General features: G+C 39.5%; 3 pseudogenes, besides 1 other annotated feature; 1 reads left to right on the top strand and 2 right to left on the bottom strand.

Annotated features, from left to right (window-relative positions):
* RNU4-72P (RNA, U4 small nuclear 72, pseudogene) lies at positions 2,935 to 3,107 on the bottom strand (annotated as a pseudogene).
* Positions 9,948 to 10,449: an enhancer, noted in NCBI's record as "H3K4me1 hESC enhancer chr6:86453957-86454458 (GRCh37/hg19 assembly coordinates)". NCBI's record gives its function as "activates a minimal SCP1, AML or CMV promoter by ChIP-STARR-seq in primed H9 embryonic stem cells {active_cell/tissue: H9 hESC(primed)}" and the evidence as "EXISTENCE:reporter gene assay evidence [ECO:0000049][PMID:30033119]".
* SMIM11P1 (SMIM11 pseudogene 1) lies at positions 18,620 to 19,479 on the top strand (annotated as a pseudogene).
* On the bottom strand, positions 22,657 to 23,410 carry LOC100127917 (heat shock protein 90 alpha family class B member 1 pseudogene; annotated as a pseudogene).

Raw genomic sequence — 24,645 nt, 5'->3', positions numbered from 1 at the left:
GATCTTTCCTGCTTTCTCTTGTGGGCATTTAGTGCTGTAAATTTCCCTCTACACACTGCTATAAATGTGTCCCAGAGATTCTGGTATGTTGTGTCTTTGTTCTCGTTGGTTTCAAAGAACATGTTTATTTCTGCCTTCATTTTGTTATGTACCCAGTAGTCATTCGGGAGCAGGTTGTTCAGTTTCCATGTAGTCGAGTGGTTTTGAGTGAGTTTCTTAATCCTGAGTTCTAGTTTGATTGCACTGTGGTCTGAGAGACAGTTTGTTATAATTTCTGATCTTTTACATTTGCTGAGGAGAGCTTTACTTCCAACTATGTGGTCAATTTTGGAATAAGTGCGATGTGGTGCTGAGAAGAATGTATATTCTGTTGATTTGGGGTGGAGAGTTCCATAGATGTCTATTAGGTCCACTTGGTGCTGAGTTCAATTCCTGGATATCCTTTTTAACTTTCTGTCTCATTGATCTGTCCCATGTTGACAGTGGGGTGTTAAAGTCTCCCATTATTATTGGGTGGGAGTCTAATTCTCTTTGTAGGTCTCTAAGGACTTGCTTTATGTATCTGGGTGCTCCTGTATTAGGTGCATATATATTTAGGATAGTTAGCTCTTCTTGTTGAATTGATCCCTTTACCATTATGTAATGGCCTTCTTTGTCTCTTTTGATCTTTGTTTGTTTAAAGTCTGTTTTATCCGAGAGTAGGATTGCAACCCCTGCCTTTTTTTGGTTTTCCATTTGCTTGACAGATCTTCCTCCATCCCTTTATTTTGAGCCTATGTGTGTCTCTGCACATGAGATGGGTCTCCTGAATACAGCACACTGATGGGTCTTGATCCTTCATCCAATTTGCCAGACTGTGTCTTTTAATTGGAGCATTTAGCCCATTTACATTTAAGGTCAATATTGTTACGTGTGAATTTGATCCTGTCATTATGATGTTAGCTGGTTATTTTGCTCATTAGTTGATGCAGTTTCTTCCTAGCATCGATGGTCTTTACAATTTGGCATGATTTTGCAGTGGCCGGTACCAGTTGTTCCTTTCCATGTTTAGTGCTTCCTTCAGGAGCTCTTTTAGGGCAGGCCTGGTTGTGACAAAATCTCTCAGCATTTGCTTGTCTGTAAAGAATTTTATTTCTCCTTCACTTATGAAGCTTAGTTTGGCTGGATATGAAATTCTGGGTTGAAAATTCTTTTCTTTAAGAATGTTGAATATTGGCCCCCACTCTCTTCTGGCTTGTAGAGTTTCTGCCAAGAGATCTGCTGTTAGGCTGCTGGGCCTCCCTTTGTGGGTAACCCGACCTTTCTCTCTCACTGACCTTAACATTTTTTCCTTCATTTCACCCTTGGTGAATCTGACAATTATGTGTCTTGGAGTTGCTGTTTTCGAGGACTATCTTTGTGGACTTCTGTGTGTTTCCTGAATTTGAATGTTGGCCTGCGTTGCTAGGTTGGGGAAGTTCTGGATAATATCCTGCAGAATGTTTTCCAACTTGGTTCCATTCTTCCCATCACTTTCAGGTACACCAATCAAACATAGGTTTGGTCTTTTCACATAGTCCCATATTTCTTGGGGCTTTGTTCATTTCTTTTTACTCTTTTTTCTCTAAACTTGTCTTCTCGCTTTTTTCATTAATTTGACCCGCAATCACTGATATCCTTTCTTCCACTTGATTGAATTGGCTATTGAAGCTTGTGCATGTGTCACGAAGTTCTCATGCCATGGTTATCAGCTCCATCAGGTAATTTAAGGTTATCTCTACACTGTTTATTCTAGTTAGCCATTAGTCTAACCTTTTTTCAAGGTTTTTACCTTCCTTGCGACAGTTAGAACATGCTCCTTTAGTTTGGAGAAGTGTGTTATTACCGACCTTCTGAAGCCTACTTCTGTCAACTCATCAAAATCATTCCCCATCCAGCTTTGTTCCACTGCTGGCGAGGAGCTATGATCCTTTGGAGGAGAAGAGGCACTCGGTTTTTAGAATTTTCAGCTTTTCTGCTCTGGTTTCTCCCCATATTTGTGGTTTTATCTACTTTTGGTCTTTGATGTTGGTGATCTACACATGGGGTTTTGTTGCAGATGTCCTTTTTGTTGATGTTGATACTATTCCTTTCTGTTTGTTAGTTTTTCTTCTAACAGTCAGGTCCCTCAGCTGCAGGTCTGTTGGAGTTTGCTGGTAGTCCACTCCAGACCTTGTTTGCCTGGGTATCACCAGCGGAGGCTGCAGAACAGCAAATATTGCTGCCTGATCCTTCCTCTGGAAGCTTCATCCCAGAGGGGCACCCACCTGTATGAGGTGTCTGTCGGCCCCTACTGGGAAGTGTTTCCCAGTTAGGCTACAATGGGGTCAGGGACCCACTTGAGGAGGCAGTCTGTCTGTTCCCAAAGCTCAAACACCATGCTGGGAGAACCACTGCTCTCTTCAGAGCTGTCACACAGGGGCGTTTAAGTCTGCAGAAGTTTCTGCTGCCTTTTGTTCAGGTATGCCCTGCCCATGGATGTAGAGTCTATAGAGGCAGTAGGCCTTGCTGAGCTGCGGTGGGCTCCATCTAGTTCAAGCTTCCTGGCCGCTTTGTTTACCTGCTCAAGCCTCAGTAATGGCAGACATGCCTCCCTCCGCCAGGCTGCAGCCTCACAAGTTGATCTCAGACTGCTGCACTAGCAGTGAGCAAGCCTCCATGGGCATGGGACCCACTGAGCCAGGCACAGGAAAGAATCTCCTGGTCTGCTGGTTGCTAAGACCATAGGAAAAGTGCAGTATTTGTGCAGGAGTGTCCCGTTTTCCCAGGTACAGTCTGTCACGGGTTCCCTTGGCTAGGAAATGGTAATCCCCTGACCCCTTGCACTTCCCAGGTAGGCGATGCCCCACCCTGCTTTGGCTCACCCTCCATGGGCTACACCCACTATCCAACCAGTCCCAATGAGATGAACCAGGTACCTCAGTTGGAAATGCAGAAATCACCCATCTTCTTCATCGATCTTGCTGGGAGCTGTAGACCAGAGCTGTTCCTATTCAGCCATCTTGGAATGGTGACAAAAAGTTTTTAATTAGCAATAACTGCACCTCGGATAAACCTCACTAGCTACACTACTGCCACTGTGCAAAGCTAATGACTCATTCATAATAACTATGCTTGAATTGCTCCTTAAAACTAGCCAAGGACAGGATTTATAGCTTTATGATCTCATATATCTAGGAGATAACAAGCTCATTTGATATTAAATCTAGGTTTAAAAATGCACACTTATAATGTAAATGCTGACAATTTTGAAGACATTTCTGTTTTTATTTTATCAACATTTTTAAAAACTAGCTTTACTTACTGAAGGTTATCTCAGCTCACAAGAACTAAAAGCCATTTGAGTTAGTTTTTATTTTTGTGAGAGAATATTTTATATTAGCACTTTTTTTACTTTAAGCTGAATAGAACTCTTTATAAATTTTGGCAATATCATCTGAGGTGGAAAAATATCACACAAATACAACATACACACACATACAGACATATATAAAAATACAGGCAGAAGCAGATCATATAGCCTTCATTAAAACTTTTCATTTTCCCAGTTTCCAAATAGTTTACCTTCCCCTTTCAGACTGTAAGTCTTTTAGTTACATCTTCCATTGCCCTAAGCAATCGCTATCCCAACAACCCAAAATTTTTACTTCCAAAGGGATGACTCTTAGGTGAAACAAGGTAGGAAATTTACATCTTAAAGGCACAGAACTTAAACACCATTATTTGCCGGCACAAAGATCTAAGTAGGAAACCTTGTTAAGACAAAATTGTCAAAGGTGAGACTTGTTATATAAACTTAAGCCAATGCCTTTTCCATTGTAAGCGTTTCTAGTGACATTCTCTCCTTTCTAGCTCTCTCTCTCTTCCTGGTGCAGAGAGGGACACAGTCCTACAAAGGGAGATTTCTTTTATAGTTGTAAATTTCTTACAAAGAATTTCAAAATAGCTAGCTAAATTCCCATAAAGGTGTATTTTGGAGACTGGTTTAGTTTGATAGGTGGTCTTTAAACTTAGCTTTGTTTCTTAACTAGATAACTGACTCCAGGGCCAAGAATACATTCCCTATGCCTAGAGTTAGCATGGATAACTCTGAAAAAGAAGCCAATTCACTTGATTTGTCCTTCATAAATACTTTATCCAGCTTTCTTTTTGACTTCATGGTGGGAGAGTAACCAGGAGAAAAAGTTGGCAGATTTAATATTTCTTTTCTTTTTTTTTTTTTTTTTTTTTGAGATGGAGTTTCACTCTCTCACCCAGCTGGAGTACAGTGACATGATCTTGGCTCACTGAAGCCTCCGCCTCCTGGGTTCAAGTGATTCTCCTGCCTCGCCTCCTGAGTAGCTGAGACTACAGGAGTGTGCCACCATGCCTGGCTGATTTTGTTTTTTGTTTTTTTTGTTTTTGTTTTTTTTAGTAGAAATGGAGTTTCACCATGTTGGCCAGGCTGGTCTCAAACTTTTGACCTCAAGTGATCTCAGCCTCCCAAAGTGCTGGGATTACAGGAGTGAGGCACCACACCCAACAAAAGAGAGTAATTTTTGTCATAAAGTAGAGTAGTTGTTTCGAGATGAAAAATAAGAAAATATAGGGCAAAAATTGAATGGATAAGAAAGTTGTAAAACATTTGTGAAAAATGAATCTTGTGAAAGAATTTTTATGTGCAATCAAACTGGCTAAGATTATGAAAAAAGTTCTAAGTTTTTTCTAAAAAATGAGAATTAATATCAAAAGTACACTGATGCAAAACTAGAATTTGGTTCTGTATGTTAAAACAAGGTTTTCTTGGAATATTGATCTGCTCTTAATAGAAAATAGTGAAAGGTTTTTCTTTACCTTTTAGGTAATTGGCTAGGAAAAAAAGATTTTGTGTTTTATCAAGATAATTTCTTGTGCTTTGTGCTGTCTTTTATCAGTTCTTTGATATTTGTTTAAAAAGTGAGTCTTCTCAATATCAAAAGAATGAGGTTTTTGCTCACAACTCTGTAACTATTACTGGTGGAAGGTATCTGTGTTACTGGTGGTAAATCCATATGGGTCTGCAGCAACCTCAATTCTTGCCTCCTTAGAAGAAAGAATTCGACTGAAGGCCATAAGGCAAAAAAAGAGAGCAAGGTGTGGATGTTTTGTTTTAAAAAGCTTTAGAACAGGAAAGAAAGGAAAGTACGCTTGGAAGAGACCCAAGAGGGCAACTTGAAGGACAAGTGCCCTGTTTATCTGTGATCCTAGGATTTTACAGGCTGTCCTTTCCCATGAGTCTTCCCTTAGCGGGGGCTGCCCTCATGCACAGTGCCCTATTTAGCCTTGGAAAGTGAGCACATGCAGTGTGCTTAGGAAGTTTTATGCATGCCCATCTCAGGGTTTCCTCCTTTTTCTGGTGTCGTACCCTTGAAAGGTCATAATCCACCATTTGTCTTTTAATGTGCATGCCCAGGAAGTTGCTTCTCTGTGGCACTTGCATTCAATTAATACTTTAGCACAACAGGTGTAAACCATCAGAAAATGGCCTCTCCCTGGTGCCAGCTGCCAGTTTATCACTTTTAGACAGACAATGTGATAATTGTCAAACCATCACCCAAAATTCCTAGTGAGTGGGAAAGCCCTGTCTGCCTAACTACCTGTAACATAAACTTCTATATTTGCCATAAAAATCTGATAGTGTCACTCTGATTAAATAAACAACTATAATAAATGTTTTTCAACTTTTAACATTTTGGACAAACTTCCCAAAATTAAATCCTAAATTAAGTCTTTTTTGACCTGAAATTAACTTCAGGACTTTCCAGTTCAGCCCCCGGAAAACACTGAACATTTACAATTTTAAAAGAGCATGTTAATCCGTCTTGTTTGATATGTTATATGAGAAGTATTGTCAAAAAAAAAAAGTGATGCACTTGTAGTCCTGATACTCAGAAGTCTGAGGCAGAAGGATCACTTGAGCCCAGAAGTTCAAAGCTGCCGTGAGCTATTCACAATAGCAAAGACTTGGAACCAACCTAAATGTCCATCAATGATAGACTAGATTAAGAAAATGTGGCACATATACACCATGGAATACTATGCGGCCACAAAAAAGGATGAATTCACGTCATTTGCAGGGACATGGATGAAGCTCGAAACCATCATTCTCAGCAAACTATCACAAGGACAGAAAACCAAACACTGCATGTTCTCACTCATAGGTGGAAATTGAACAATGAGATCACTTGGACACAGGACGGGGAACATCACACACCAGGGCCTGTCGGGGGTGGGGGGTGCTGGGGGAGGGATAGCACTAGGAGAAATACCTAATGTAATGTAAATGACGAGTTGATGGGTGCAGCAAACCAACATGGCACATGTATACCTATGTATCAAAACTGTACATTGTGCACATGTACCCTAGAACTTAAAGTATAATAAAAAAATAAAATAAAATAAAAAGAAGAATTATGGATTTTTCTGAGTTTTTTATTTGAAATTTTGCTGGTTCTTTGGTTTTCCAGGAAACATTTTTCCTTTTAAGCTATCTATAGATCACAGCTATATGGTAAAGTATAAGTATACTCTTGTGAATAAAATTGAAATATTTACTTTTTCTCTCGACATGATCCCTCCAGAATTCAGAAACTACTCATGAATGTTCTTATTTTTATGGCAATACAGTTATTTGTACAAGTTCAAAAAGAACTCATTCTCTTTATAACAGGATACAACTGGAAATATTGGTTTGGTTTCCTATCCTTGAGAGGCTTTTGCAAGTTCTCTCTGAAATTTCTTATCCAAAGTTCCAGCAAAGCAAACTTTAAAAGAGCCTATGTGGTGAATCACTATTCCGGCTGTACTTAAGTAAATAATCAGGCCAAGTTTGATTCAGCTCAAACAAATTAGTTTTACTTTGATTATCTTTGGTAGAAATGGGGGTGACTGCTAAGAGAAAAATTATGTTTCAGAAAAAAAACTAGCCTGACCAACATGGAGAAACCTCATCTCTACTAAAAATAAAAAATTAGCCAGGTGTGGTGGTGCACACCTGTAGTCCCAGCTACTTAGGAGGCTAAGGCTGGAGAATCGTTTGAATCCTGAAGGCAAAAGCTGCGGTGAGCCAAGATGTGCCATTGCACTCCACCCTGGGCAACAAAAGTGAAACTGTGTCTCAAAAAAAATTTAAAAAGAAAAGAAAAAAGAAAAACTATACTATACCTTTTATTGGACTGTAGACCTGTCCATTGTTTCTGAGTTTTTATCATCTACCTGTAGACTAAACTGGATCCTAAATTTTTCTAGTTTCCTTTAATATCTGGCTACAACTCTTAAGTTTTCCTTGCTGTGCCTAGCTTTTTCTCTTGGCAGAATAATGCTGTAGTTGAAATTTTGCAATCTGTGGGTAACTTGACAAAAATGTTGGATTTGTCATGCCAAATTAAGTTAGGGAATATTAGATAACAGAATTGCAACCTACTAGCTGAACAGAGAAGAATCTGTGCAGTTGCTAACATTTCTTGCTGCATATGAATAAATAGAACAAACAGGCTACTTGCCTAAAATAGGTAGATTTCCTATCTGGTTCATTCTTTGATCTATTTGATTGCAGTTAGCTTGATTCATGTGGACCCTGACTAAGGGGCATACTCTAAACTCTTAGTATTATCCTCCTTATAGTCATATAGTAGTATCCCTGATGCACTATATCCTCTCTAAAAGTCTTAAACATCTATGTGCAACCATTTGTTCAATACTAAATGGTCTCTTTCCAGCTGGAATAATGAAAACTCCAAAAAAATGCACAATAATAAGGACATCATAACCTACGAATGATGTGCTAGGACTGAAAACCAAAAATGATTGTGACTAAGAGTATCACTGGTACCTTAAGTTTTTGTCACACTCTCACCTTGGTGACCAAAAGGGGGAACTATTAAATAAAAGTTACAGGAGGCCATTGGATTGGACTGAGCTCATACACTATGCCCAGTAGACAAAACCAAAATGGGGTTACTTATGCTTAAGTTCCGTGCCACAAAGACACTTAGATCTTTATATGAGCTTTGAAGAAATCAGAAGAGAGAGAGATAATAGCCAAATCTCCAAACAGGCCCATTTTAGCCAGCATATTAAGGAAGTCTTCTTTGCTTTAACCTTTACAGGAAAAGTAACTTTGAAATGACCAGTCCACTTTTTGTTTTCTGTTTCTGCTTTTCTCCATTCTTTTCTGTCTATAAGACCAACCTCTTCTGTTAGGCTATCAGAATACTCATCCTAATTTATAAAATAAGGTGTTGTCCAATTCTAGAATCACAAATAAAACAAATTAAGATATTTAAATTTGTTATAATTTTGTCTTTTGATAGTGTCTGTACATATAAATGCTCAAATTATATTCAGTGTATTTTTTAAAAAAGAAGACTTGTTCTAGAAAACTCCACTCTCCACATCCAATTGACTCCCAGTGAAAAATCTAGCGCCCTCAAACCAGATTTTTTAACATAGCTAGCATAATAATTACATAATCATTCTCTGTTCCTATCAAATGGTCCTAATGGGTGTGAATATTTGAATTAGTCTGTATTAGTTCATTCTCACATTGCTATAAAGGGAGCCTCTAGATTTTTAGAATATCCATTTGTTTTCTGAACATCAACATTTCTCAGAAGAAAAATCTGAGAAAACATAGTAAACCACAGAGGAAATCTCAATACAGAATCACCATACTGAGAGAGAAACACTGTTCACTCTTGGATGATGTATTAGTTAGGGTTCTCCAGAGGGCCAGAACTAATAGGATATATGCATTTATGAAAGGGAGTTTACTAAGAATAATAGGCTGACAGTTCTACAAGCTTAAGAAACATGACCAGGAGTCCTCAGGAAACTTACAATGATGGCAGAAGGGGAAGGGGAGGCAAGTACATCTTACCATGGTGGAGCAGAAGAGAGAGCAAAAGGAGAAGCGCAACACACTTTTAAACCATCAGATCACATGAGAATTCACTCAATCTTATGAGAACAACAAGGGAGAAATCCGCCCCCATGATTCTATCACCTTCCACCAGGCCCCTCCTCCAATTTGACATGAGATTTGGGCAGGGACCCAAATTCAAACCATATCATTCTGCCCCAGACCCTCCCGAATCTCATGTCTTTCTGACATTGCAAAATACAATTATCCCTTCTCAATAGGCCCCCAGTTTTAACTCATTTCAGCATTTACTCACAAGTTCACAGTCCAAAGTCTCATCTGAGACAAAGTAAGTCCCTTCTGCCTATGAGCCTGTAAAATCAAAAACAAGTTAGTTACTTCAAATATACAATGGGGATACAGGAATTGGGTAAATGCTCCTGTTCCAAATGGGAGAAATTTGCCAAAACAAAGGGGTTACAGGCCCCATGAAAGTCCAAAATCCTGCAGGCCAATCATTTAATCTTAAAGTTTCAAAATGATCTCCTTTGATGCCATGTCTCACCTCCAGGGCATGCTGATGCAAGGGGTGGGCTCCCATGGCCTTGGGCAGCTCTGATCCTGTGGCTCTGCAGGGTACAGTCCTCCCAGCTGCTTTCACAGGCTGGGGTTGAGTTCTTGTAGCTTTTCCAGGCACATGGTGCAAGCTGTCAATGGATCTAACATTTTGGGCCTGAAGGACAGTGCCCTCTTCTCACAGCTCCACTAGGCAGTGCCCCAGTGGGGACTCTGTGTGGAGGCTCCAACTCCATATTTCCTCTCCACACTGCCCTAGTAGAGGTCATCCCTGAGGGCCTCACCCCTGCAGCAGACTTCTGCCTCGACATCCAGGTGTTTCCATAAAACCTCTAAAATCTAGGTGGTGGCTTCCAAACCTCAACTCCTGCCTTCTGCGCAACCACAGGCCCAACACCACGTGGAAGCCACCAAGGCTTGAGGCTAGCACCCTCTGAAGCAATGGCCTGAGTTGTACCTTGACCCCTTTTCACCACAGCTGGAGCAGGAGCAGCTGACATGCAGGATGCCATGTCCCAAGGCTGCATAGAGCAGCTGGACCATGGGCCTGGCCCACAAAACCATTTTTTCCTACTAGCCTCAGGGTTTATGATAGGAGAGGCTGCCACTAAAGTTCTCCGGCATGCCCTGGAGACATTTTCCTCATTGTCTTGGTTACTAACATTGGCTTCTTTTTACATATGCAAATTTCTATAGCCAGCTTAAATTTCTCCCCAGAAAATGGATTTTTTCTTCTCCACCACATTGCCAGGCTGCAAATTTTCCAAACTTTTATGCTCTGCTTCCCTTGTAAATATAAGTTCCAGTTTCAGAAAATCTCTCTGATTATGCTTATGGGCATACACTTTTAGAAACAACCAGGTCTCATCTTGAAAGCTGTGATGTTTAGAAATTTCTTCTGCCAGGTGCCCCGAATCATCTGTCTCAAGTATAAAGTTCCACAGTCTCTAGGGCAGGAGCAAAATGCCACCAGTGTCTTTGCTAAAGCATAGCAAGAGTAAACTCCAGTTCCAAGTAAGTTCCTCATCTCCATCTGAGACTATCTCAGTCAGAACTTCATTGTCCATATCACTGTCAGCATTTTGGTCAAAACCATGCAACAAGTCCCTAGGAAGTTCCAAACTTTTCCTCATCTTCCTGCCTTCTTCTGAGCTGTCCATACTGTTCCAACCTCTGCCCGTTACTCAATCCCAAAGTTGCTTTCACATTTTCAGGTATCTTTATAGCAATGCCCCACTTTCCTGGTACCAATTTTCTGTATTAGTTAGTTTTCACAATGCTATAAAGAACTACATGAGACTGGGTAATTTATGAAGAAAATAGGTTTAATTGACTCACACTTCCACAGGCTTAACAGGAAGCATGACTGGGAGGCCTTGGGAAATGTACAATCATGGCAGAAGGTGAAGGGGAAGCAACCATGTCTTACCATGGTGGAGCAGGAGAATGAAGGTGAAGTGCCACACACTTTTAAATCATCAAATCTCATGAGAATTCACTCACTATCAAGACAACAGCAAGGGGAAAATCCTCCCCCATGATCCAATCACCTCCTACCAGGCTGTTCCTCCAATTCAACATGAGATTTGGGCAGGGTCACAAATCCAAACCTTATCAGAGCCTGTGAGGAGCCTTTTGCCCTGGCAACAAGATTGGTATAAAACTTTAATGTTGCGGCTGGGTGCAGTAGCTTATGCCTGTAATCCCAGCACTTTGGGAGGCTAAGGTGAGTAGATCACTTGAGGTCAGGAGTTTGAGACCAGCCTGGCCAACATGGTGAAACCCCATCTCTACTAAAAATACAAAAATTAGCTGGGAATGGTGGACCACATCTGTAGTCCAAGCTACTTGACAGTCTGAGGCGAGAGAATCACTTGAACCCAGGAAGTGGAGGTTGCAGTGAGCCGAGATCATGCACTGCACTCCAGCCTTGGTGACAGAGCAAGGCTCTGTCTCCATCTATGACAAAACCAAGGCCAACACAATACTGAATGGGGAAAAGTTGAAAGCATTCCCCCTGAGAATGGGAACAGGACAAGGATGCCCACTCTCACTACTCCTTTTCAACATAGTACTGGAAGTCTTAGCCGGAACAATCAGACAACAGAAAGAAATAAAGGGCATCCAAATTGGTAAAGAGAAAGTCAAACTGTCAATTTTTGCTGACAATATGATTGTTTACCTCGAAAACCCTAAGGGCTCCTCCAGAAATCTCCTAGAACTGCCAAACGAATTCAGCAAAGTTTCCAGATAGAAGATTAATGTACACAAATCAGTAGTTCTCCTATACCCCAACAGCGACCAAGCAGACAATCAAATCAAGAATTCAACCCCTTTTACAATAGCTGTAAAAAAAGTAAAATACTTAAGAATATACCTAACAAAAGAGTTGAAAGACATCTACAAGAAAAACTACAAAATACTGCTGAAAGAAATCATAGATGACACAAAAAATGGAAACACATCCCATACTTATGGATGGGTAGAATCAATATTGTGAAAATAACCAAACTGCCAAAAGCAATCTACAAAGTCAACACAATCCCCATCAAAATACCACCATCATTTTTCACAGAGTTAGAAAAAACAATTCTAAAATTCATATGGAACCAAAAAGGAGCCCACACAGCCAAGGCAAGACTAAGCAAAAAGAACAAATCTGGAGGCATCACACTACCTGATTTCAAACTATACTATAAGGCCATCATCACCAAAACAGCATGGTACTGGAATAAAAATAGGCACATAGGCCAATGGAACAGAATAGAGAACCCAGAAATAAACCCAAATACTTACAGCCAACTGATCGTTGACAAAGCAAACAAAAACAAAGTGGGAAAGGACACCTATTTCAACAAACAGTGTTGGGATAATTGGCTAGCCACATGTGGGAGAATTAAACTGGATTCTCTTCTCTCACCTTATGCAAAAATCAACTCAAGATGGATTAAGGACTTAAACCTAAGATCTGAAACTATAAAAGTTATAGAAGATAACATTGGAAAAACCCTTCTAGACATTGGCTTAGGCAAAGATTTCATGACCAAAAACTCAAAACCAATCACAATAAAAACAAAGATAAATAGCTGGGACCTAATTAAACTGAAGAGATTTTGCATGGCAGAAAAAACAGCAGAGTAAACAGACAACCCACAGAGTGGGAGAAAAACTTCACAATCTATATATCTGACAACAGACTAATATCCAGAATCTACAATGAACTCAAATAAATCAGTAAGAAAAAAAATAATCAATCCCATCAAAAAGTGGGCTAAGGACATGAATAGACAATTCTCAAAAGAAGATATACAAATGGCCAACAAACATATGAAAAAATGCTCAACATCACTAATGATTAAGGAAATACAAATCAAGACCACAATGCAGTACCACCATACTCCTGTAAGAATGACCATAATCAAAGAATTAAAAAACAGTAGATGTTGGCATGGAATGGCCATAATCAAAGAATTAAAAAACAGTAGATGTTGGCATGGATGCAATCAGGGAACACTTCTACACTGGTAGTGGGAACGTAAACTAGTACAGCTGCTATGGAAATCAGTGTGGAGATTCCTTAAAGAACTAAAAGTAGAACTACCATTTGATCCACTAATCCCACTACTGGGTATCTATCCAGAGGAAAAGAAATCATTATTTGAAAAAGATACTTGCACACACATGTTTATAGCAGCACCATTCACAATAGCAAAATCGTGGAACCAACCCAAATGCCCATCAATCAGCAAGTGGATGAAGAAATGTGAAATACACACACACACACACACACACACACACACACACACACACACGCTGGAATACTACTCAGCCATAAAAAGGAATGAACTAACAGCATTTGCAATGACCCGGATCAGATTAGAGACTATTATTCTAAGTGAAGTAACTCAGGAATGGAAAACCAAACAACGTATGTTCTCACTGATATGTGGGAGCTAAGCTATGAGGACACAAAGGCATAAGAATGATATAGTAGACTTTGGGGATTTGGGGGAAAGAGAGGGAGTGGGGGCAAGGGATAAAAGACAACAAATAGGGTGCAGCATATACTGCTCGGGTGATGGGTACACCAGAATCTCACAAATCTCCACTAAATAACTTAATCATGTAACCAAATACCACCTGTACCCCAATAACTTATGGAAAAATAAAATTAAAAAAATTTTTAATGTTGCTCCTAACAATTTTTATAAGTTTTTTTTATCATAACCCTTTGACTCTCATTAAATTTTTCCAACCCCTGGGCTTTGTTAACTTCCTAGCACTGATATTTTTACATTAGCATATTCTATATATTCTGATACTGCCATAAAATAGCCTCCCAGTAGTTAACCCAGCTGGAAAGACAGAATTGCACAGGCTGTTATTAGAATAGAGCAGAGAATTTGAGGAGCACTGCATTGCCCTCTAAGGGGTGAGAATTCAAGACCAGGGGCTATGGCTTACGGAGACCTTAAAGAAAAACAATAGTCTTGCTTGACTATTCCAGGAATCCAGACACTAGAAACCAATATAAACCAGAGAGAGAAAAAAAAATGTAGGAGGACCTTTCTAAAAGGATACCAAACACACATCAGGGAATTGATCCAAGCCGTTATAAAGAACAAAGTGGAGTTCTCAAAAGTGAGAATAGAAGATTAGAGTTGAACAAGTAAAGTTAATTGGATCAATGGAATATCTGTGGCCTGAAGCCACCTTATTAAATTTAAAGGGGCTTCACCCTAGGGAGCAGTTCTGGGCCTGACAAAATAGTGCTAAGCTTGAGGGTGTTTATACATATCAGTAATTGGTCTGGATTGGCTTTGATTTTCCTGCTTCTCCTTTCGTTTATCTCTGTAGTTGAAATGTCTGCATTCCTTTATTCTCACTTAATTAAGAGGGATTAATTTGGTCATTTTACCAGGCCCAGTTTCATTTTAAACAGGCTTTGATCTAATGGGCTCAGTCTTGGCTTAAAGTTGTTACAGAAGTGGAGTAAGGCACAGCACAGCAGAAATTAGAGACCAAGATGGCAGCCTAACAGAGAAACACAGCCAGGGAAACAGATGAGAAGCAGCCTAGAAAAAGAGATTGAAACAAAGGCCTAAGGAGTCGGAAAAACAATATTCAGTCCTCTTCATCATACTCATCCTAGCATCCAGAGTGGGAAGCCAGGGAGCTAGGTGAAAATGGAAGGTCAGTGGGACCATGGTAGAGAAAACAGATTCAAGCAACAGACGCCAAAGAGCTCTCCAATAACCCAAGCATTGGAATCACTGAAAAATGTCTCAAACAGTGTTATCTGCCATCTGCCCAGAATGTTTTTACCCCCACAAATCCATAGGACTTACCCTCCCACTTCCTTCAGACCTTGACTAAATATGTCCTTCACAGCAAAGACTTCCCTGGTCATCCTATCTAAAATGTAAACACTTTCACACAAACACAAAAACACTCCCTATTCTCTTTCCCAACTTTCTTTTCTTCTTAGTTCTCATCAGTATCTAACATACCTTATATTTCCCTTTATCCTTTGTTCTTGCCCATTAAAATGTAAATTCTATGACAGAGATTTTTGTCTGTTCATTGCTGTGTTTCCAACACCTAGAACAGTGTTAGACATATATTGTTAGTTGATATTTAATAAATATTTGTTAAATAAATGTTGAAGACTTTGTAAGCTAATCATGGCAATAACATCTTAAAAATTATTAGAATTACCAGAACACAATTTATGCATTTTGACAAAAACTCTCCCTTTTGACCAAAACTTTAGTCAGTCTCTTTTGTGTCCTCTGACCATGCCTGATCTTGGGCTACCCTCTCTGTCCTTGTTGAATTCAGTTTGAGCAGGAATACTACTAAGTCAGTTTTTGTATCTGACCACCCTCTATATCTTGTAATACAGGCCTGCCTCCAGCCATAATCCCTATCAAGTCAGTTTAGCCAAAAACCTCTTATCCTTGATGTTTCCTCTGAGTAATTTTCCAATCCCTGACCCCCCAACTCTGCTTCTTAGTTATGAAACTCCACCTGTTCTTGTTGAAGTCAGAGTTGAGTCAAATCTCTTCCCCTCACTGCAAGACCCCATTGGCATGTTCCCTACACCTATCTCCATGGCCCCCTTGAATAAAGTCCTCCTTGCCATCTCTGTTTTTTTTTTTTTCTTTAACAGAGTCTCACTCTGTCACCCAGGCTGGAGTACAGCGGCATGATCTCAGCTCATTGCAACCTCCACCTCTCAGGTTCAAGCGATTCTCATGCCTCAGCCTCCCAAGTATCTGGGACTGCAGGTGTGTGCCACCATCCTGGCTAATTTTTGTATTTTTTAGTAGAGACGGGGTTTCACCATGCTGGTCAGGCCAGTCGTGAACTCCTAACCTCAAGTGATCCACCCGCCTCAGCTTCCCAAAGTGCTGAGATTATAGGTGTGAGCCGCTGCACCCAGCCCACCTTAACAATCTTTAACAAGTATCATAAATAATTTTTAGCACTCCTTTTTGGGGGAAGAAAAGGAAGGGATAGTTCTGAAAATACTCATTTGATAGAGGGTATTATGAATCTTCGAATTTGAAAGAGACTTTGGAAATCAACCAGTTGGAAATTATGCCAACTATCCTAATTATATCAATAGGAAACTGGTTAAATAAATTACAGTATATCCTTATAACCAAATACTGTGTAGCTATTGAATTTAAAAATGAGGAAGCTATACACTGTTACAAAAAAAAACTTGAGGTATGCTATTAAGAGAAAACAGCAAAGTGCAGAAAAATATGTATTATCTTAGTCAATTTGGGCTGCTATAACAGAATACCACAGATTGGGTGACTTCAATAATAAACACTTACTTCTCACAGCTCTGCAGGTGGAGAAGTACAAGAGGAAGGCTCCAGCAGATGCAGTGTCTAGTGAGAGCACTCGTCCTGTTTGCAGATGGCTCTTTCTCTCTCTCTCTCTCTCTCTCTCCCCCTCTCTCCCTCCCTCCCTCTCTCTCTCTCATCTTTCCACCAACCATGTGAAGATACAATGAGAAGATACCAAGGATAAGGGATTTTCCCTAAACTGACTGTCCAAACTGGATTCCACAAGGACCAAGAGGGAAGATCAAGGCTGGACCTAATCAAGCAGAGGACCTGTAAGAAATAAATGTTTGTTGTTTAAAACACCCAGTCTATGGTATTCTGTTATAGCAACCCAAACTGACATAGATACCTCCCAATGGCCTCACCTACTAATACTATTATATAAGGGGTTAGGATTTCAACAAATGGATTTGGGGGAAGTCAAACATTTAGCTTATAATATACATATAAATATTACTTTTGTGTAAAATGGAGTGAAAACAAGCATGTGTATTTGTATATGCTTGTACAGGCATAAACAAACTTAAAAATATTTTCACACGTGGTAAAATATAGATCTAAATAAAGAAACTTTATTAAATATAGATCTAAATAAAGAAACTTTTGAGGATACATAAGAAACTAAGAAGGAAGGGAGTAAAGTAGGAACTAGAGAAATGAGAGACAAACATAGAAAAAGACTTTGAATTTTATGATATTTTACTTTTTGATGTTTGAAACATGTGAACAAATTACCTTTTTCTAAAACATGTAAAGCCCTAACTTCTCTGTGGCATTCAAGACTACTTGCCCAACATCTCCATTGAGATTTCTAATAGGCTTCCCAAAGATGACATGTTCAAAACAGAATATTTGAGATCTCCCCTCAAAGCTGCTTCTCTCCTGGTCTTCTATAACACAGTAAACACCACTACCAACTACTTTGTTGCTCAAGTTCAAACTCTGAGAATTATCCTTAATCCCTCTTTCTCCTACCTCCATGAATTTTTAAGCAAATCCTTCTGTTTCTACCATCACGATAGAGCCCTAATATATCCACTTCTTACCATCTCTACTATTATTGCTTCAGTCCCAGTCACTGTCATCTCTAACTATTGCAATAATCTAAGAAGTGTTACTCAAAGTGAGACCCACAGACAAGAACTGTTTGTTTCTAGTCCATGACAACATAAGAAACTTGAAAATCAACTACTTTGCTAAGCGCAATGTTTAGGTCAGCTGAAATTTATTTTCCTTTTCTTTTTCTTTTCTTTTCCCTTTTTTTCTTTTCTTTTTGAGACAGATTCTCACTCTGTAGCCCAGGCTGGAGTGCAGTGGCATGATCTTGGCTCACTACAGCCTCTGCCTCCCGGGTTCTGGCAATTCTCCTGCCTCAGCCTCCCGGGTAGATTACATGCATGCACCACTACGCGGGGCTAATTTTTGTATTTTTAGTAGAGACATGGTTTCACCATGTTGGCCATGCTGGTCTTGAGCTCCGGACCTCAGGTGATCCTCCCGCATTGGCCTCCCAAAGTGCTAGGATTACAGGGGTGAGCCACCATGCCCAGCCTTTTCTTTTTTTTTTCTTTTTTTTTCTTTTAAACAGGATCTTGTTCTGTCACCCAGGCTGGAGTACAGTGGCATGATCATAGCTCACTGCAACCTTGAACTCCTGGACTCAAGCAATCATCCTCCCTCAGCCTCCCAAGTAACTAGAACTATAGGCAAGTGCCATGACACCTGGCTATTTTTCTAATTTTTTGTAGAGATGGGAACTTGCTATGTTGCCCAGGTTAGTCTTGAACTCCTGGCCTAAAGCAATCTTCCCATTTTGGTCTCCAAAGGTGCTTGGATTACAAGCATGAGCCACTGCACCCAGCCCAGCTAACATACTTTTTTCATAGCAAGCTTTCTTGATGAAACAAGGAATAAATCCTTTTGTATTCTGAGAAAGCTCTTTATCTCTTTGCAGACCAGCACTTTAAGTAGCACCATTACCGGTCTCACTGTTTCCATTCTCACTGATTTATACATATAACCATTCTTTATATGATAGTCAAAAAATATGTTTAAAATTAGTCACATCATGGCTGGTCATAAACTATGTTAACAGTTTTAGAATAGTAACAACACCAATATTTTCTCACAATTTGGATCATTTTACCTCTTTCATTATAAGTCATGGAGTGCAAAGCTTTTTAACAATGGGAGTTTTAATGACTCAGGAAGGAAAACTCATAGGAAAACTCTATCTGTCCATATTTACCATTGGATTTACATCCTCTTAAATATCAGTTTTGGATGGTTTGTGTGCGGCCAGGCACAGGAGGCTCTGCCGTTGGGAGCAATGAGACCTTCCAGCTCCCTGGGGCTGACCTTCCCGCCGCCTCTCATGTACTTGTCTGGTGGGGGTTTGTGTTGATCAGAAGTGAATTCATAGTTGGTCTACCATGAATTGGAAGGTTCTCGAACACGTGCACCTGCTGCTGTATATCTTGGCAGCAAAAACATTAATTCTCTGCCTGGCATTTGCTGGAGTGAAAATATACCAAAGAAAAAGGTTGGAAGCAAAACAGCAAAAACTGGAGGCTGAAAGGAAGAAGCAATCAGAGAAAAAAGATAACTGAATATTCTGCAATGTAAATGTCAGCTTGAGTGGACTCCGGCTGAGAAGAAAGAGAAGAAATACTTAATTATTGAATAATGTGTCAGAGGATAAAGTCCCAACCTAGACATTTCACTTAAAATACTGTGAATTTATATGTGCTTTTAAAAGAACCAGTATTGGCTAGGCATGGTGGCTCACGCCTGTAATCCCAGCACTTTGGGAGGCTGAGGAGGGCAGAACGCTTGAGGTCGGGAGCTCGAGACCAGCTTGGCCAACATGGTGAAACCCCGTATCTACTAAAAATACAAAAATTAGCCAGTGTAGTGGTGCACGTCTGTAATCCCAGCTACTCAGGAGGCTGAGGCAGGAGAATTGCTTGAACCCAGGAGGTGGAGGTTGCAGTGAGCCTAGATCATGCCACTGGCCTGTTACTCCAGCCTGGGCAGCAGAGCAAGACTCTGTCTCAAAAAACATTTTTTTAATTTAAATTTTAAAAAATAATAATAAAAGAATCAGTATTTTGTTTACTAAAATAAAATACCTTTGTAAAAAAAAATATCAATTTTGTTTCTCTAATTAAGGTGCATGGTACTATGCTTCAGTGATTTGATTTGGGTCATGGACTTCATTCAAATTGTGTATCTTAATAATAATTTCAGTACTGACTCATTTAGAATGAAAATCTGCCACTACCAAATATTTCCTTGGTATATAATCCTTGTTCTGCTTGATGTTGAGTTAGCAGTTTTATAAAACAGTCAGTTTTTTAGAGTTCTTAGAAATCTTACCCAGTTCAATGGCATAACATTAAGGTTATTCAAAAACTGTATTTATCAGAATTCTTTCCATCCTTACTTGTCATGAGTTTCCTTGAAGAAGAAGCAACTTTGGACTATAGTTGATTGCAAATGCTTTTAGAGAAGAATCAAAACCACTCTCTATGGATGACAAAGACTTAGGATGACCATGGTTAAAATATGATGAGTTCATTATAATCAGCAATTGGTCAGAAAATTTAGTTATTTCTGTGTCATACAACATTTCAACATAATAACCAATATTGTGATTGACAACATATCAGATTTCTAGGAATCCCATACGATTTTTAGAACATTCATATAAATAATACACCCATAGATATAACTCAAAAAGTCCAGTATCACTTATTATTTGACAATGCTTCCCCTATAACACAACACTTAATATAAGCCTAATTAATATCTTTACAAGATGAGAGACACTTCCTTTGTAGCTTTTCATGGGCCCAACTGAAAAATCCCAAAGTTAATTTCAGGTAATTTTTTTTTTTTTTTTTTTTTTTTTTTTGAGACAGAGCCTTGCTTAGCCACCCAGGCTGGAGTTCAGTGACGCAATCTTGGCTCACTGCAACCACCATCTCCCAGGTTCAAGTGATTCTTCTGTCTCAGCCTCCTGAGTAGCTGGCATTACAGGCACCCGCCATCATGCTTGGCTAATTTTTGTATTTTAGTACAGATGGGGTACAGGTAAATGTTTAAAAAGACTTAAGAGTTTGCTCTTAAAAAGCTTGTCAAAATATCAAAGTTTAAGACACCTGATAAAAATAGAATTACAGGTTGGTCAAGCACAGTGGCTCACGCCTATAACCCCAGCACTTTGGGAGGCCGAGGTGGGTGGATCATCTGAGGTCAGGAGTTCGAGACCAGCCTGGCCAACATGGTGAAACCCCATCTCTACTAAAAATACAAAAAAATTAGCCAGGCATGGTGGTGGGCGTCTGTAATCCCAGCTACTTGGGAGGCTGAGGCAGGAGAATCGCTTGAACCCGGGAGGCAGAGGTTGCAGTGAGCCAAGATCACACTATTATACTCCAGCCTGGGCGACAAGAGCAAAACTCCATCTCAAAAAAAAAAAAAATAGAATTACAGGTCACTGTGAAATAATAGTTACTCATTTAACCAGAGTGATAATGAAAAGACTTTAAAAGGCAAACACTCTGTAATCCCAGTGCCTTGGTGGGCTGAGGTGGGAGAATCCCTTGAGGCCAGGAGTTCAAGACCAGCCTAAGCAATATGGCAACATGCTGTCTCTAAAAAAAAAAAAGAAAAGAAAAAAAAAAAAGAAAAATTAGCCATGCACAGTGGCATATCCCTGTAGTCCTAAATACTTGGGAGGCAGGAGAATTGCTTGTGCCTAGGAGTTCAAGGCTGCACTTAACTATGATCACACCACTGTGCTCTAGCCTGGGCAACAGAGAAAGACCCTATCACTAAAAACAAACAAAAAAACAAACCAGGGCAACATGGCAAAACCTCATCTCTACAAAAAAATTAAAAATTATCCAGGCATGGTGGCACACACCTGTAGTCTTAGCTAGATGGGAGGTTAAGGTGAAAAGATCACCTGAGCCCAGGAGGTTGAGGCTGCTAGTGAGCCATGATCATGCCACTGCAATCCAGCCTAGGTGACAGAGCAAGACTCTGTCTCAAAAAGAAAAGAAAAAGGCAAACACAGGGTTATATATTTCTTTTAAAAAATGCCTACTTGTAGAAAAACGTGAGCTCTTTAATAGAGAGGACTCAATTTTCTTAAGTAATCAAAGGCTTAATAAAGGCAACATAAAACACAGGAACTATTATGATAAAACACATACTTTTTTCCTAGACCAATTACCTGAAAGGTAAAGAAAAACCTTTCATTATTTGCCATTAAGAGCAGCTCAATACTCCAAGAAAAATCTTGTTTTAATAGAGAGAACCAAATTCTAGTTTTGTATCAATGTATACCTTTGAAATTAATGTTCAATTTAAGGAAAACTTAGAAAACTTCTCTTCTAACTTTAGCCAATGTGATCACACTTAAAATTTATTTTATAAGATTAACCTTCCACAAGCCTTCTACAGTCTTTTTTCTTTCTAGTTTTGGAACAGCCAGTCATTCTACTTTGGTACAAAAATTACCTTTTTTTCCCTTAACCAAAAACACATCTTACTTTCATCACCTAAGGAGTTATTTTATTTTATTTTATTTTATTTTCTAATTCTTTTTCTTTTTTTTTTATTATACTTTAAGTTTTAGGGTACATGTGCACATTGTGCAGGTTAGTTACATACGTATACATGTGCCATGCTGGTGCGCTGCACCCACTAACTCGTCATCTAGCATTAGGTATATCTCCCAATGCTATCCCTCCCCCCTCCCCCCACCCCACCACAGTCCCCAGCGTGTGATATTCCCCTTCCTGTGTCCATGTGATCTCATTGTTCAATTCCCACCTATGAGTGAGAATATGCGGTGTTTGGTTTTTTGTTCTTGCGATAGTTTACTGAGAATGATGATTTCCAATTTCATCCATGTCCACCAGCTAACATCATAATGACAGGATCAAATTCACACATAACAATAGGAGTTATTTTAATTGCCATATGTTAATTAGAAATTTTTCAATTTTGCTAACCTTTTGCAGCATTTTTTTTGGAGTCTCACTCTGTTGCCCAGGCTAGAGTACAGCGGCATGATCTCGGCTCACTACAACCTCCACCTCCCAGGTTCAAGTGATTCTCCTGCATCAGCTACCCGAGTAGCTGGGACTACAGGTGTTGGCCACCATGTCCAGCTAATTTTCATATTTTTAGTAGAGATGGGGTTTCACCATGTTGGCCAGGCTGGTCTTGAACTCCTGACCTCAAGGGATCCACCTACCTCGACCTCCCAAAGTGCTGGGGTTACAGACATGAGCCACTGCAACCAGCCTTGATTTTCTTTTTCTTATCCATACCACTGTCATCCTCTTCATCTGAAGCCATATCTTCAATCTTGGGCTTTTCTTCATCATCTTTTTCTTTTTCTTTCTCACCTTTCTCTTCCTCAACCTCATCATTAGTGATTTATTTCTCTTATTCCTTTTCCAAATAAAAGGTAATAGAATAGCCTATGAACTTCAAGTCCTTCTTTACTATTTCTTTGACGCAACTCTCTTATAAGTACTCTGTCTGGTCTTCTTTAAGGCAGAGGATCACTTTGGTACCACTACCAATGAGCTCAACATGGTCAGCATATACAGTAAAGGAATACCTGGCAGAAGATTCCCAGGCTTACTGTTCATCATCATTGTGCTTTATGATCACAACCACTCTATCAGTCACCAGATAGGCAGAATAAAAGTAAACACCAAACTATTTGCCTAATCATGAAGATGTCTGCACCAGCCTGAAGAGCCTCCATAAATGCTTTATGACAGAACTTGTTAATAGTTCCCAAATTATTTGTGAGATCAGCCTTGGTCATGCCAATGCCTCATCATTGGTGATTTCCTTCTCTTGTTCAAAGTCAGGCTGTTTTCATGAGGGTTGGGGGGATGTCCATGTTCAGCTGTTTACCACTGTCTAACTTGAAGAATTCTGTCATACTCTCAGAAAATCTTGTCTAAGGTATCAGAAGCATTAGGATCAACTTTCAAAGGAAAATCTTCTTACAGGTATAGAAGGTATTCTGCTCTGGGGAGTTTTCTGTTTTTTGCATAGGAATACCATAGCTTTACCAATGTACAGCTATTAAGGCCACAGTTCTAAATAAATAAATGAAACACATGATAAATTTCACAAAACTACAGTGAGGTCTTGTCAAGATAGCAGAGTCCAGTAGGTTCTTTGAGAAACAATTCTGTAGGTGTGGGAAGACTCACCTCCACCACAGATTTCTTAGATAAACTTAAATAAGCTATTTGCCTTTTCCATGCCTATCTTCCCATTTTTAATGGAAAAAAAAAACTATGCATTTTTCACTGTACAATATTAATCATCCCCATCAGCCTGCTTTTCCCCTTTAAATGTTGAAGGCTTCACAATCATCTTTGGAGAAAGGCACGGAACACAGACTATTCCTGTCATTCCATGTTCTTTTTCCTGAACGTTGTTCTTAATTAATCTTGGCAAAATAAACTTCTAAATTGACTGAGACTTGGCTTAGATACTTCTTGGTTTACAAACTCGTGACCACAAAGGGACTATGAGTAGAGGTGACCCTGACTTTTGACAAATCTCATATCAGTACTTGGTACCAGATTGAGCTATCTTTATTGTTCAAATCAATAGGACAATTTGCTGAAGTCCAGGAGCACTCCCTCCAGAGAATCCCTGATCTCCCAAAATTTTGAGTCTAAAGTTCATTTTGCCATACAATTCCTTTTCTGGAGTTTTACTCACTTCCAACAAGGCAGGTGAGTTTTCTTGCTTCCATGAAGAGGGAAAGCAGGCAACTCTTATTTGGAGTTTCAGCTCACTTCTAACAGGGAAGACAAGTTTTAGTTTTTTCTTGCTTCTAGGATGGTAGAGAGTAGTCTTCAGCTTGAGCTCCATTCCTAGGTAAGTAGCTGAATTGGAGTTTTGTCTTGGGAATTCTCCTTAATGACTAAAATTTACGATTAACAAACAGCTGGTCTTAATTTCTTCTTACCATTAGAAAGCCCAGTAATTTTATAAATTGTGCAATTGTTTGTTTTGCTTAACTTTTTTGGTTTTTTTTTTGTTCCTGTTTTTGTTGTTTTTGTTGTTTTGATCTTTTTCCCCTTAGGTTTGATTAACTATACCTGACTTGGTCAAATCTGAAGGAAAGTTCCAAATTATGGGGAACAAGGCCTCAATTGTAGAGACATGGTTTCAGTATGCTGCCCAGGCTGACTCAAACTCCTGGGCTCAAGCAATCCACCCACTTCAGCCTCTCAAAGTGCCGGGATTCTAGAC

This window comes from Homo sapiens, chromosome 6, assembly GCF_000001405.40.
Source record: "Homo sapiens chromosome 6, GRCh38.p14 Primary Assembly".
In the NCBI taxonomy this organism is placed as follows: domain Eukaryota; kingdom Metazoa; phylum Chordata; class Mammalia; order Primates; family Hominidae; genus Homo; species Homo sapiens.
The sequence above is the reverse complement of the archived record's forward strand: the minus strand, read 5'-3'. Positions and strand labels throughout refer to the sequence as shown.